Raw genomic sequence first — 14,714 nt, forward strand, 5'->3', positions numbered from 1 at the left:
AATATAGCTCTTCTGTGAATTGATAAGTAATTGGCTATCAGGATATTATTTGGATATTTAAAATATCTTGAGCAATCAATGTTAAGTTTTACAATTTTATGAAGTTGGGTTTACTAGGATGTGCCAAAATAATTTTCTTATAATTGGGTGGTTATCATAGAATAACAAAAAATCTATTCAGATATATCATAGAACTTTACAGGAAAAAGAGTTAAACTTAATGTATATAAATTTTAAAAAATCATTGAGGAGATCAGAAGCTCCCAGGAAAGAATGTTAAAAACTGTGATAAGAGAATCTCACCATATTACAAATGTATGAACAACTTCAGTGAGGAGAAATGTGGCAAAAAGGCATTGATCTAAGTAACCTTGGAAATGAGTGGAGTCTGTAATACTAAAGGCAAGAGGAACTGAGCAATAAACAGTGTACATTCTAGTTGAGAAAGTTGTTTCCCATGAGGTTACAGGTTAACAAATTTGATACTACTATACAAAAATACTGGATGTGCACAATTAAGTAAATGGGTGGTTGATATGGTGTGGCCATGTCCCTACCCAAATCTCATCTTGAATTGTAACTTCCATAATCCCACGACATGGGAGTGACCCGGTGGGAGGTAATTGAATCATGGAGGTGGGTTTTTCCTCTGCTGTTCTTGTGATAGTGAATAAATCTCAGGACATCTGATGGTTTTATAAAGGGCAGTTCCCCTGCACATGCTCTCTTGCCTGCTGCCATGTAAGACATGCCTTTGCTCCTCATTCACCTTCCACCATGATTGTGAGGCCCCCCTAGCCATGTGGAACTGTGAGTCCATTAAACCTCTTTTTCTTTATAACTTTATACACTCTCAGGTATTTCTTCATAGCAGTACGAAAATGGACTAATACAGTAGTTGATGGCAGAAGCCAGGTTTCTGACTGTTGGAATGGGAATTTACAAACAAGCAAGGGGAGGTGGAGGCATGTCAGTCAAAGAGGCACAGGAGCTAACTGAAAGAGCTCCCAAGGTCAAAACTGGAAAATTTGAGCAACAAAATAAAGATTATATCCATGAATCTATACTGATATAAATGATGGAATAAATTAATAAATAGAGGAGACAAATCTGTGCAGAAGAATTCTAAATAAATTATGTAGCTATTCTACCCTACAGGAGGGAACGCATGATTCCCCACTCCTCAAGTGTGGGCTGTGCATAGTGGCTTCCTTCCAAAGGTATAGCATAGAAAAAAGCGGAAATAAAAGAGTCATTTTACAGTGGAGAAATCTTCCCTACTGGAGCATTTGCTGGTATTTGAGGGAAGACACTAATACCTAAGGTTGCCTCTTTGGCTTGCTTGATGTGATGCAAATCAAATTAAATGCCTTTCCTTCCATTCTTTTTATTCTATAAAGCTTTTATTTTTTTCCTGATTATAAAGTAGTACATGCCCATCATATAATTGGGGATATACATAAAATAAAAATCTCCCATAATTATATTACCCAGAGGTAATCACTTTTATAATTTTGGTGTATTTCCCTCCACTCGTTATTTTTCTATGCATGAGGAATTGGGAAATACTGCAACTGGTTAGTTGGGGAATACAAACTTAGTTAAGTGCACTCTCATAAGTTATATCTTGTAAAATAAATGCAAAACCAGCACAGTGCATAGAAAAAAGCTATTGTTTTAAACATCAGAAACCACAGCTGTTTGTCAAAATGGCTGGTGCTCCATTTCTGAGAAGCTTCTCTGTGTTTACTTCATGGTGGGCACTGAGCTACAATATATTTTTGTTTTCTGCTTTAAAAATATATGGCACAAAATATAGAGGTTTACCTTAACAAAAAATAAAGGTAATAAGAATGTATATAAAAGGCACTCTGGCCCCCAAATACTCAATTCCTAAATATTGTTTTATAATGAACTTTTAATAGTATGAAATTTCTCAGGCATGCAATCATCACATTGTAGAACAGACTGTGTATATTTTATATGCAATATAAAAATACATATATTTACAAATTGAAGTAAACATACACACATACATTTGTACCCTTCGTACCCTTATTTTCTCACATACATAATCACATATTTTAAATGTTCTTAAACAATCATTTCCATCTATCTAAAGTTTACCAATCCCTTAAGAACCATGTCAAGTCTTGCCTCCACCATCAGCATTCCATGATAGCCTCAGTTCATTATTTCTTATGCAGATTATAGTAATAGCGCCTCTGAATTGCTTTACCAGTCTCCAGTCTGTTCCCTTTTCAAATCGTCTTGCTGAAATAATCTCCCTCAAATATAACACTGAACTCAAGATACGTTCAATGGTTTCCAATGGCTACATATAAAGAGCACACTTCTTGGTCTGATTTCACTAGTCCAGACTCCCCTCCACCGTATACACCATACATTCCCACCAAAGTCAACTTTCTGTGTCTTTACTTCAACTCTTCCCCCTGCTTGGGATTCTAATATTACCTCAGGATTTTTTTTTTTTTAATCTTGCTGACAGTTATTTGTATAGAATTGGCTATACACTCTTCAAAGTCAGAACTTGCAATTTCAAATTCAGTGCAATTAAATGTAAATTATAGTCACTGAAGACCCACTGTATTCCAGACACCATGGAACGTGTTAAGAGCAAGAGAGATGAGTAAGGCATAACCCTTACCCTGAAAGATATCATAGTCCAGAAAAGGAGACAAAGACCTAACAAACAATCCTGATTCAAGGCACTACATGAAGATGCAGGAATACACACAACATACAGCGGTAGCACAGAAGAGGGGGCAGGCTCTACCTATGCAGGCGGGGCTGTGAGTAGGTGATTTCTAAAGGAACAGGAAATGCCAGACAGAAGTGAAGCGTGGTCTATTCAGGAAATTTTAGAAAGGTGGGTGTTTCTACAGTGGGGAGTAAGTCCTAGATTTGCCTTTAAAGGTAGGAGGGTGAACACCATTAATAGCCTTGCAAAATATGATAGGGGACCTAAAACCCAAATGCTAATGAACATCTTTGGTTGTTCCTCCAAATGTTTATATTAGCCTGCAGTTTTCCATGTGTAATTTTGTCATTCTCCAACTAGCATATAAACTTTTGGAAGACAAAATCCAAGTACGAACTTATCAGATCTCTTAAAGCCTTCAGCAGGGCTATCACATAGTGAGAGTTTTAGCAACCTTTTAATTTCATAATCTTCTCTCATCCTGATGCTTGCATGCTCAGTGCTTAAAAGGAGTTCAAAACATCTGTCAGAAGAATTAAGCAATTCTGAGTCAAGACAAAAACTAAAAGGGCCAGCATGTTTTGCAGAAATGTTCTGGATTAGTGATTTTGCCTCTAGAACAATTTTATTTACTTTTAAAAAGGCAATTTAATGCAATTTGTTTCAAAATGTCATATTTTAGCATATTTAGAGCTGTCAGCAACTGGGTCATCAACAGCAAAATAACCAGTATGGATTTTTCAGCTACGTTAATTAGATTTGCCTCTTAGAATCGCTTGTATGTAATGATGTTAATCAGTGAATGACATTCCCTTTAGACTGGCCAGCCCTGCCTCTCCAGTCCCTGCTGAAGTGGACAATAATTTGTGGCCTGAAATGGCTTCTTTTTTATATAGAGTGAGTGTGAACTGATAATCAATGCTAGTAGCTGAGCCAAAGAAATAGAGGTGATTGAAGTGTGAAGATGGAAAAATTAGCATCTCATTCTATCAAAGTTGTAGGAGACCAGGGCACAAACACCTTGTGCTTACTAGGTGGAGGAACTGGGGAAGCAACAGGGGATAAGGGTAGGTTCTTTCACGGGATCCACTCCAATAAGAAAAAAAAAAAATGAACTTTCTCCTCACCTTGAAAAAAAAAAAAAAAAGAAAAAGGCTACAATTACTAAAGAAAATGTAGGTACATATAAATATACATGTAAATACATAAAAAGAGAACTGCAAAGAGACTGACAGTATGTGGCAAAGACACAGACCACAGAAAAATGGATCCAGAAAAAGAAGCCATGAAGGGAATAAAGTAGAAAATCATAACGGGGTATATTTTGGAACTTTCTCTGCATGATTATCTGAGTCCTGATTCTTTTGCTGGGATGGTAACGCATGCTGGCTTGTGCATTTCTCCTTGCTTGTTGGTGGCAGTGGTGGTAATGAAATACATGTTTTATGTTGTTAATTTTAATCCCTAAATGTCATTGCCCATGATTTCAGTGTTTCAGTTTTAGAGGGGAAGGCACGTATCAATGGTCTGGTTGTCGATATTGTTTGCCCTTAAGATGAAAAGAACAAGAAAGAGTCGCCGAAAGGATAGTCAATCCATTGGCAATGGATAGGTAAAGTGTATGCAGTCCAAAAATGCTACATATTCTAAGTGATTGTGTCCATAGATAGAGATAATTATAGAACTATGCTCCAACAAAAACCCAAGTCCCGAAAGTCAATTTATCTTGCCACAGACCCATATACAATCTTACATTTAACTCATATTTTTTTGTCCTTTTATTTTGGAAACCTAGTCCCCTCCCGGTCTACACTTTAAAAGTAGTTCTCTTACATCAGTCTGGGTATGTCGCTGACAGCCACTGTCCCATCATGGGTCTCGCTCTCTCCATCTTCCTCCTCTTCCTCGCTACTTTCTGACTCCTCACTGGAGGAGGAGTAATCAGTCACCTTCTTCATTGGGCGGTTTGTTTCTTCAATCCGGAGTTCTCTTAGTTCTTTGGCTAATGCCGTCAGATCCTATGAAAGAAAAATTTGTTCAGCATATGAGTGGTAGATACGACCAAAGCTACATCTCTCAGCAAGTCAGTGCTCCAGCTTAAGCAACAAGAAAAAAAAAAGCTCTATATAGAACTGTGACAAACATAGTTACTGCATGGAACTAAGAAAATGATGTTTGTAGCGTGTAGAAGCTAGAAAAGAAAGATGAAATCAATTTAAACTTTTTCAAAACCAATAGCTAGACTGAGACTGTTCAGTCCTGAATATATATGTGTACATATGTGTATGTACACATATATACAAACATTGGGTTCTCATTTTGTTTTGGAAAGGTGAAGCTGGTCACCCCCAGAGTTAATGGGAAAATATGTGGGATTAGAAATTGTGCCCCAGTATTCTGGGACTCCTGCCCAAGCCACAGTGATGGCTTTTCCCCTCTTATGATTGCTGCTGTACTGAAATTTACCATCAGTCAGCCATAGAACAGAGCAACTCCCAAGGTTCCAGCTACTACAGTGACTCATTTGGTGTGTCATCATTCCCTGGAGAATGGAGGTACCACATCAAATCATGGCCCATCCTAAAGTCTAGTGCCACTGAAATTTACAGCCACAGAACTGAATTAATCAAGAGGAACAACAACAACAAGAGTTCTCTTCCAAAATGATAGGTGTTTCATTTTCTTTTGTTTTAAATTCCAGTCATCTGGCAGAAATCCTGGTGAAGAACACTAAAATGAATGTGCAAATACCAAAAGGAAGAGATAATTTTGAGTTTTCCATGAGTATGATGAAACCTTTAGCCTTATGGATGTGATGATGTGGTATTTAATCACCAGGCATACTGCAGGCAGTGTGCTGAATATCCGACTACCTTTTATTTTACATGCTTTCAGAGTAATGCAGAGGGAAGCAGTTCTGCAAAAGCATGGCCGCTCTAATTTGCATGGGTTAAACTGCCCATGGCACACAGCATGCAAATGGGGAAAAAGCAATTTGACATCAGTCTTACCATTTCTCCCTATATTAGTGACCCATGTGGGAATCAGAGCATTCAGTGAGAGACAGGGGATTAGGGAGAAAGAAACTCATTGAAAAATACTAAATCCCACAGTTTTCTATGGCCATATTCTCTCTTTATTTCAATCCAGAAATGTATGCATCCAATTCACCTGATGTAGGATTAGAGCAACCTGGGTGATGACATTGGGTAATCCATCCTAATCGGTTAAAAGAAAAGCTGTGATAAATGTGTATAGTTAAATTATAATTTTATTTTGAGAATACAACAAAACATTGTTTCTCTACTGCCACCTGTATGTCAGGCATTACTATTTTGGTTCACACTAGGAAAGGAAACACTTTAGGTGTTTTACGTGGTCTAGAAATTTAGGCAATTCATAGTGTTAACTGAAGGGTCATTTCTTTCTAATTTCATAGAAATCAAAGGGAAAGCAAAATGGCTTTTAAATTTGTCTTGATGACACCTGATTTGAAACCCTTAGAATATGGAAGCTGCTAAAAATTCAACCTTTGCATTACATACAGAAACACACTTGGCTAGGGCTTTTGCACACATGCACATTTGCACATTTGCACATGCCTCAATCTCGGTGAATGTATTTGCTCCATCTGTGAAAGTGAAAATAGAATTGTATTTAGAAGGCCAACTCTGTTTAAATGTAATGCATATTATAAAAAGAAGAGGAAAACCATAACATAGGTATAATGTTATGCAAATTTCTGGTTTCTTTGGCAATTAGCCAAAATAGGAAAAGCTAATATCTGAATTTCAACTTTTACTTCTTATTTCCTCCTGGCAATTGTCAATGCTTATCTTTATCAAATGAAGAAGAAAGTGAAGGGTATGCTATTCTTGAGTACCATGGGAAAATAAAGTCTAGATATTTGTTAAGGCTATGAAAGAAAAGGATATTATCATCCTCCAAACCAGTGAAATAATGAAAAATTAGATAAATTTATTTTGTATTCTGACATCTATATATTAGGACTGTGTTAAGTCTCATCAAAGAATACAGCTAGCATTTAAAATGTTACTTGTTATTAAGAATTACATTTTATATAATTTAAAGAGAGAATATGGTTTAAAAGAGTTTATCTCTATTGTTAATAATTCTGAGTAAAATATAATACTCTTGGCTATGGTTTAATTAATGATACATTTTCCCCAGAGGTTTATTTTCCTTTTCTCTGACATTTCAAAACGAGACAAAAGAAATTCTAAAAAATCAAAATTATTTTAGAAATATTTAGTCCACAGGCTACTGATTTAAAAAAACTTTCACTTGTTAAAATGACATACATTTTTCTAAACATTGTATTTAGAAACACTTTAAAGTTCTGAACTGCTTAATAATTTTGCTTTTAATTAGAATTTTTTGCTTCTGTGTTACTAAAAAGCTCTCTGCCCTGAAACATTAGAAATAACAATTAAACTTAAAGGAAATTTTCAATTAACAGTTTGGAGGCGAGACATATACCAGAATCCCTATGAAAAGGTAAAAATAATGAATAATTCCAAAGTAATACCTGTAGTCAAAGAAAATTAATCTTCCATTGCTAAGAACCTATGTGTTTAGCTGAAGTTTTGTTTCTTATCCGTCCAGTATTGAAAAATTTATAATAGCAAAGTTATAGGAAATAAACACAATCTAATATTAACACCATTGGGTTCAATTCTATTTTCATATATTTTATTCTTTGACAATACAAATTTTCTCCATATAATGAGCCTTCTTGGTAATTTATTACTTGGCTGTCACAAGCCTGGAGCTAAAAAGTATTTAAAAAACAAAATAAGTGCTATTTAGCATGAAAATATTTGAGAATATATAGCTAAAAAAGAAATATGGCAAGATGGTAAGATTTTTTGACTACAGAGTAAATGTGAAGATAGCTACGAGGCTTAACAGTTTTTAGAATCAACTAGATATAATTTTTCATTCAACAAAGGTTAACTATTATGCACATCTTGACTAAAAAGGCGCTCTTTTAGGTCCCTTTTTAGAAACAATATAGTTTATTCAAATAAATATTAGTTCAATTTTTGAACTATTGTTTAAAAATTTTTAGCTTTTTTTTCTCTTTGTATTAAACTATTTTCTTTTTAGGAACTCTAAAGATATGACATTGGGCAAGCCACTTAGTTTCAATATCCTCATCTGAGGGAAAAGGGGGTTGAACCCCTAGTTATTGTTCACCTTCCATCCAATCTAAATTGATGTGCTTTGAAATTTTTGATGCCCACATACTAATAAAAAACAGCGGTAAAAACAGTGTTTTCTTACGTGTATAATCTTTGTGTCACATATTTAATTGTGCCAACAGAGAAAACCCATTTATTTTCAAAGACTATATTCAAAGACTATATTAAATAGACTATGCTGCAAAATCTCATATTCCATTAGAAAGCAATGTCACATTAATGTACACTCCCCCAAATTAATTTTTATAAAAAGTTAAATCATTAGCAATAACAAGCGACAATATTTCAAAAGTGATTTTCAGATTTTTCATTTCAATCCCAGTTATCTAAATTGCAAAAACAGTCGTTGAGAGGGAAGCCCTACCAAAACCTATGAATGGAGAAGGGAGAAAGGTGTAGTTCAAAGTTTCTCAATTATGGCCCTGTTGACATTTTGGGCCAGATAATTCTTTATTGTAGGGAGTTCTCTGTGCACCACGGGATGTTTGGCAGCAGCACCCCTCTGCTCTATCCACAAGATGCCAGTACCACTGCCTGCTACTCTGAAGTGGTGACAACCAAAACTGTCTCCAGATTTTGCCAAATGTCTCCTAAGGGAAGAGGAGTGGAGGAATCAGCCGTGGTTGAGAGCCACTGGGTTAGGTAGAACCGCTTTATTTTAGTGGTTTGGATCAGTGATACTCAAGAGATCAGGATAGTCACCTGGAGGGCTTTTCCAACCATACATGGCTCCAGAGATTTTAGTATGCAGCTCACACCCCCTCAATTATTTGTAATTACGTATACCTCCATTGCCCCCTCTCATCTCTGTCCAGTGTGGTGCAGTACACCAAAAAAAAGTAGAGCAATTTTTCAAAGCCTAAAATATTCTGGGTTAATCAGATGAAATCTGTGAGAGCCTTTTCCTTAATGACGGCCCCTCCAAGCCAATTTCTGAACTCATGTAATTCCTCTTGAGTTCTGCACATGCACAGCCATTTTATTGGCAACTGTAGCACCAGAACTTCACTGTCTTTCTTTACCTGTTCTGGGAGAAAACTGACAAAAGTTGTGATAATCCCTGCCCTTCTCACTATTATGAGAGAGAGGGGCAAGCAAGGCCACGGCACAGAGCAATTAAAAACACACTCTCCTCTTCCCTTTCTATAAATGCCATCCACACACCGCAAACATGCGGAGTCTCATTCTTTTATAAGCAACAATCCTTCAACTATGATCATAACTGTCTCGTCACTCTGGGTGGTGAGGTGGCCATAAGTCTGAAAAAGTGAGGCTCTTCGGTGAAGACCAGATACATGGAAACATGCTTCTCCTACCTGCCAAAATAGCTCCATGCCTCTGGCCCAAACCTTAATCAAACCCTTGGCTTTCTGCAGCAATGTTACACATAAAATGCTTTCACACACATTACCTTAAATGATCCTAAACAATCTTGTAAGTGGGATGGGGAGGTGTTTTTATTCTCATTTTATGGATGAGGAAACTCTGGCCCAGTGAGGTTATGAGACTAGTCTCAGCCAGTTATTTACTGGGGGAGCCAAGATTTGAATGCAGCTTGCTGACCTCAAAGCCAGTGCTTTTTCCATTAAATTTCACAAAAGTAGTGCTCAGCAGAGCTACAGCTTTAAAGCCATGATGGTAGTCTTTAGATTCCATGCATTTAGGACTCTTTGCAAGGCCTGGATCTTAAAAAAACAAATTCTACTCTGCTGTATTCATGCAGGTCTGACAAATAGCAGTAAGGCAGTCATCCTTCTTAGCAAGCTACCTACAACTGACAAAGCCATATATTTTTCTAATGGAAAACGTCTCCACAGACAAGGAAATAAAGTCACTTAACTTTCCAGGATTCATTAACTAAAGCTGATGTTGCTTCTGATGCTGTTGTTAATGTCCCACAAAATTAATCTAACAATACCTACTAACTCCTTGTTCACAAATCACACACTCTAAATTTGGAGTGTCCTAGAATGATGTCTCTTTTCTTGTTAGTAAAACTGCTGAGAGCCATTCCCTAGCAAGGCTGGCAAGTACAGGTTTGCTATTGGAAGATACTGGAAGGAGAAACTGCCATTAATAAAGCATGAATACTTGTCATTAGCCAGACTGGAACATTGGAAAAGTGACATTTTAGCTTAGAAGGAAGGTCTCTGAAGCTATATGGGTAGGTTTGAGGGTCTTAAAGTTGGCTTCCATTTGAAGGGGCACTCCTCCCAGCAGATTGCTACAAATCTCCTCCCAGCTGATTGCTCCCATTGGCCACCTTTCTGAATGTCAACATTAGGAAATAAGTTTAATATTTACATTTTGTGAAAGCATGACCAAGAAAAGGTAATACTAACCTCATCTATAGCTTTTTTGTAGCTCTGAAATGAGAGGAACCCAATCCAGAAGAATCCACAGAAGGAGGAAAAGCCAGCAGAAAGGCAGCAGATTAGACACAAAATTGTAATTGTTAGTACGCAACTGATAAATACAAAAGGGCGAAGAGAATGTCAATCCAGAATGATGCAAATCCCTTCATTATTACTCTCGGTATACGTCGTTACTTTAAGATGTTAAAAAAGAGTAAACCAAAAAGCTTCACGTTCATTTTACAGAAAAGATTCTCAAGAGATTTAAATAGAAAAAATGGATAGTAATTCATCCCAAATTAATTTTCAACTTTCAAATTTTAGCCTCCATACTCCTCTTTAAGGCTACCTGGGGGTCTATCATGTTACAGCAGTGAAGCTGGATGCTAAGTTGTTACGACGCCTGTTGGACCCTGCTTAAAAAGTTTGGTCCAGAAAATATAGTCCTGGAGGCATGAAAAATAGCAGAAAAACTGTAATATTAATTCATGTGGAAAATAATATGGGGAAAGAGTAGAAGAGATTAGAGAAGTTCATAGAAAGTACCCAAGTCTCTTTAACTGCTACTTTCAACATCTTTTTGCCAAAGTTGCTGAGTAGAAATTATGGAATGATAGGAGTTGTTTCTCTTCCTGTTTTATAGTTAAAGGACTGCTAATGATCAGCAAATAGCCAAAGGCAGAGGAGTCAATCCAAGATCTCTTCGGTTCTTTCCTAATCAGGTATGACTTTCTTCGGGATGTTTCTAGCATCCGTTCTTACTAATCTCAACAATTTTTGTTTGCATCATGAGTGTATCCCCAACTACTTAATCCTGTGGGTTCTCTGGTAAATTAAGAGTTCAAAACTCTTGGAGAGAAAAGCACTCACAGCTGGTCGACTGGGCCGGGTAATGTCCCTGGATTCTTCTGGTTTCACCTTCGCAGGCTCATGGGGGAGCACAGGTGATCCTTCTGACTTACTGTTGGCTAGAGGAAAAAAACAGAGGACCAAGAAAGAGATGGCCATCAAAAAGTGCTGGCTCAAGTTCTGAATGAATTATCTGTGATGTGTCATCACATTGAGATTACTCAGTGGACACGTCATTCACCTGGGCAAATCCTCAAGAAACATCCATGAAAAATATAATGTTCAGGCAAACACATTTAGGCTTGTGACCTGGAAATCACTAGTAACAATTAAAAAAAAAAGAAATGTAGCAAGTACTATCACCACTAGAGCACTTCTTATGTGTCAGGCATAGTGCTAAATGCTTTCCATGTCAATTATCTCATTTAATCCTCACTCCAACCCAATGATATGGCACTATTCTCCTATTTTACAGAACACAGATTTACAAAGATGACACAACTGTCCGGAGGTCACACTGAAATTATAGACAGAGCTGGAGTTCTGATTTCTGAAAGTCCTATTCTCAGTCACTATGCTAAATGAGCCTCTAAGGTTCTATGCTTGTTTTCTTCTTTTATCATTTGTCCAATCAGGATAGGTTATTTTGTTGAAATTTTGTGAGGGAAAAAAAATTTATTTTATTTGGTGGAACGGTTTTTAATTGGAGATGGGAGTGGTCTCAGCCCTTTAAAAATAAAAGAATGAGGTGAGGGCAAGAAGGGGGTTGTTATAGGAGAAGGGCCCTAGGCTGGAGGTACAGAGCAAGGTCAAGGGGACCCTGACAGCTGCAGAGTGAATAGCATCTTTGCAGTCTATGAGCTTACAGATAGAGAAGATGCAATTTAGGGTAGGAGAGGTGGTTTTTATTTCTTAAAAAGTAGTCTTTCTTGGACAGGGACATACCAGGGATACAACAGCCCTTTTAATCCGGAAGAACGAGGGGCTGAAGGAAATAAAAAGTAAGCCTGAACCAGACCAGAGAATTAAAATGGTATGCGTTTAAGTTTGGTTTATTTAAATATTTGCTCTAAGAATATGAAGTTGCCTATAAATAGAAAAAAGATAACAGAATGGCTGTTTTCTTTCTTTAGGTGTTTTAGAGATGGGGCTCTGTCACCTAGGCTGGAGCGCAGTGGGGCCATCATAGCTCACTGCAGCCTTGAACTCCTGAGCTTAAGCAATTCTTCTACCTCGGCCTTCCGGGTACCTAGGACTACAGGCGTAAGCCACTACATCTGGTAGTTTTCTAAATTAAGGAAATTTATATTTCGATCAAGGCAACAAAGACATACAGTAGATACTTCTGAGATGTGCCACTAATCAGAAGAATGCATATAGAGGCAGCTGTTGGCTAGTCCATATCCCAATCCAGAGACGTGAACATCAATCACATGTTAGATATCAAGCTTTTTAAAATGGAAATAGAGTGATTTATTTAAAACCCTGAAAGGGTGTTAGGAGATAAACTAAGGGTATTAGGAGGTGGTATGTAATAAAGAGTCTAAGAAAGAAAAAAGAACTGAAGGTTCTCATGAGGCTTTCATCAGACAGAGAAACTTATAAGTATGTTAATATTTGTCAAATTGCAATTAAAGTACTGGTCTTCATCACTTAGAAGCAAAATTATCTTCTGAAGAAGTTGATTCAGAAGGAGTGAATTTTAACTAGCTAGAAACAATGTATTATTATGTATCAGCACCTGGAAATAATAATGTTTTTCATAGGCCTCCCCATTACTGGAAACTAAACAATGATGAATAATTTGAATTAAATATTTAGAGAGGCTAATTTTTACTTAATAGGAATAACCAGAGGAGTCAACAATTTTTTTTTTTTTTGATGGAGTTTCATTCTTGTTGCCAAGGCTGGAGTACAATGGCGTGATCTTGGCTCACCACAACCTCTGCCTCCTGGGTTCAAGCGATTCTCCTGCCTCAGCCTCCCGAGTAGCTGGGATTACAGGCATGCACCACCACGCCAGGCTAATTTTTTGTATTTTTAGTAGCGATGGGGTTTCTCCATGTTAGTCAGGCTGATCTTGGAACTCCCGACCTTAGGTGATCTGCCTGCCTTGGCCTCCCTAAGTGCTGGGATTACAGGCGTGAGCCACCACACTCGGCCTAAATATGCTTTTTAAGTCAAAGATTTTATTCCTTCCTTCAAGTGTATTCTACATTAGTCTTTACTGAATTTCATTTTGAGAAATACATGGTATTCTGAACTGTGTATATGAACTATGTTCAGAATACTAAACAGGACAATTGGTGCAATGCGTTCAGGACATTTGTGGGTACATGAAACTCTAAAAACCGGCAATCAAACAGAAACAGAAATTCAGGTGACTGGTAAGTGACTGTATTTTCAAATAAGACTGATATTTGGTGATCTCCCTGGAAAACACTGGTATCTGAGATTAGAAAGGATTTTGTCCATACTGATGGCACACACACAATTAGGGACAGTGGCCCACTCCCGAGGAGACTGGGGTTGAGAGCAGTTGACAGGCTCTTCAGGATCACACAGTGGTGGCCATGCCTGGACTAGAGTCAGGAAGTAACTAACCTTTTTCCCTGTCCACAGCTTTCCTCCCAGGCAGTATTGCCAGGTAAAGGTAAGAGAAAGTTTTACCTCGAACTCTGGTGCGTTCACTGGATCCTGCTTGTGATCCAGGCTGGGAGCCTCCTTGGGAGCTGGGCTGGGAGCTAGGGGTGCTGGAGCTGGAGGAACTGCCACTGCTGGTCCTCTGCAAGGGGCTCTCCAAGATGGGCTCAGTTCTCCGGAGATCAGGGTTGCTGTGTGAGTGACAGAGCACACTGGTTACACTCTCCAGACCTTGCCAGTTTTGCAGATCACATATCTGATAAGGTTTAATACCCAAAATATGTAAGGAACTCAAAACAGCTCAATAGCAAGAAAACGAATAACCCAATTAAAAATGGGGAAAGGACCTGAATAGACATTTCTTAAAAGGAGACATGCAGATAGCCAATAGGAATATGAAAAAAATGATCAGCATCACTAATCATCAGGGAAATGCAAATTAAAACCACAATGAGCCAGGCACAGTGGCTGTCACCTATAACCCCAGCACTTTGGAAGGCTCAGGTGGGAGGATCACTTGAGGCCAGGAGTTCAAGACCAGCCTGGGCAACATAGTGAGATCCCATCTCCACAAAAAAATTAGCTGGGCATAGTGGCATGTGCCTGTCCTCCCACTTACATGAGAGGCTGAGGTGGGAGGGTCACTTGACCCCAGGAGGTCAAGGCTTCAGTGAGCCATGATCACGCCACTGCACTCCAGCCTGGGCAACAGAGTGAGACCATGTCTCAAAAAATAAAAACATAAATTTAAAAACCCCACCAAACCACAATGAGATATGACCTCATACCTATTAGAATGGCTGTTTTCAAAAGACAAAAGATAATGAGTGTTGGTGAGGATGCAGAGAAGAGGGAACCCTTGTACCCTGTTGGTGAGAATGTAAAATAGTACAGCCAGTACGGAAAACAGTATGAAGGTTC

General features: G+C 37.9%; 1 protein-coding gene, 1 long non-coding RNA gene and 1 other non-coding gene across 17 annotated transcripts in view; 1 reads left to right on the forward strand and 2 right to left on the reverse strand.

The window, feature by feature from the left end:
- TNIK (TRAF2 and NCK interacting kinase) overlaps positions 1-14,714 on the reverse strand; it is a 401,995-nt gene that overhangs the window by 38,480 nt on the left and 348,801 nt on the right. For 4 of the 8 annotated variants that reach the window (NM_001161565.3, NM_001161561.3, NM_001161563.3 and 1 more), the window contains 4 exons: positions 13,821-13,984; positions 11,172-11,269; positions 10,290-10,313; positions 4,556-4,740 (listed from right to left, as the gene is read on the reverse strand). In NM_001161565.3, coding sequence (NP_001155037.1) covers positions 4,556-4,740; positions 10,290-10,313; positions 11,172-11,269; positions 13,821-13,984 — 471 coding nt within the window. The remainder of the gene's footprint in view (positions 1-4,555; positions 4,741-10,289; positions 10,314-11,171; positions 11,270-13,820; positions 13,985-14,714) is intronic. The other 4 variants (NM_001161566.3, NM_001161562.3, NM_001161564.3 and 1 more) reach the window with 1 other exon arrangement.
- The window catches only part of LOC105374216 (uncharacterized), a 59,021-nt gene continuing 49,555 nt past the window's right edge, over positions 5,249-14,714 (forward strand). For 2 of the 8 annotated variants that reach the window (XR_007096163.1, XR_007096160.1), the window contains exons 1-3: positions 5,276-5,392; positions 10,301-10,482; positions 10,945-11,023. This is a non-coding gene — a long non-coding RNA (uncharacterized LOC105374216). The other 6 variants (XR_007096164.1, XR_007096165.1, XR_007096166.1 and 3 more) reach the window with 6 other exon arrangements.
- MIR569 (microRNA 569) lies at positions 9,771-9,866 on the reverse strand. The gene has a single exon (NR_030295.1). It is a non-coding gene; the product is annotated as a microRNA 569 (primary transcript).

This window comes from Homo sapiens, chromosome 3 (genome assembly GCF_000001405.40).
Source record: "Homo sapiens chromosome 3, GRCh38.p14 Primary Assembly".
In the NCBI taxonomy this organism is placed as follows: domain Eukaryota; kingdom Metazoa; phylum Chordata; class Mammalia; order Primates; family Hominidae; genus Homo; species Homo sapiens.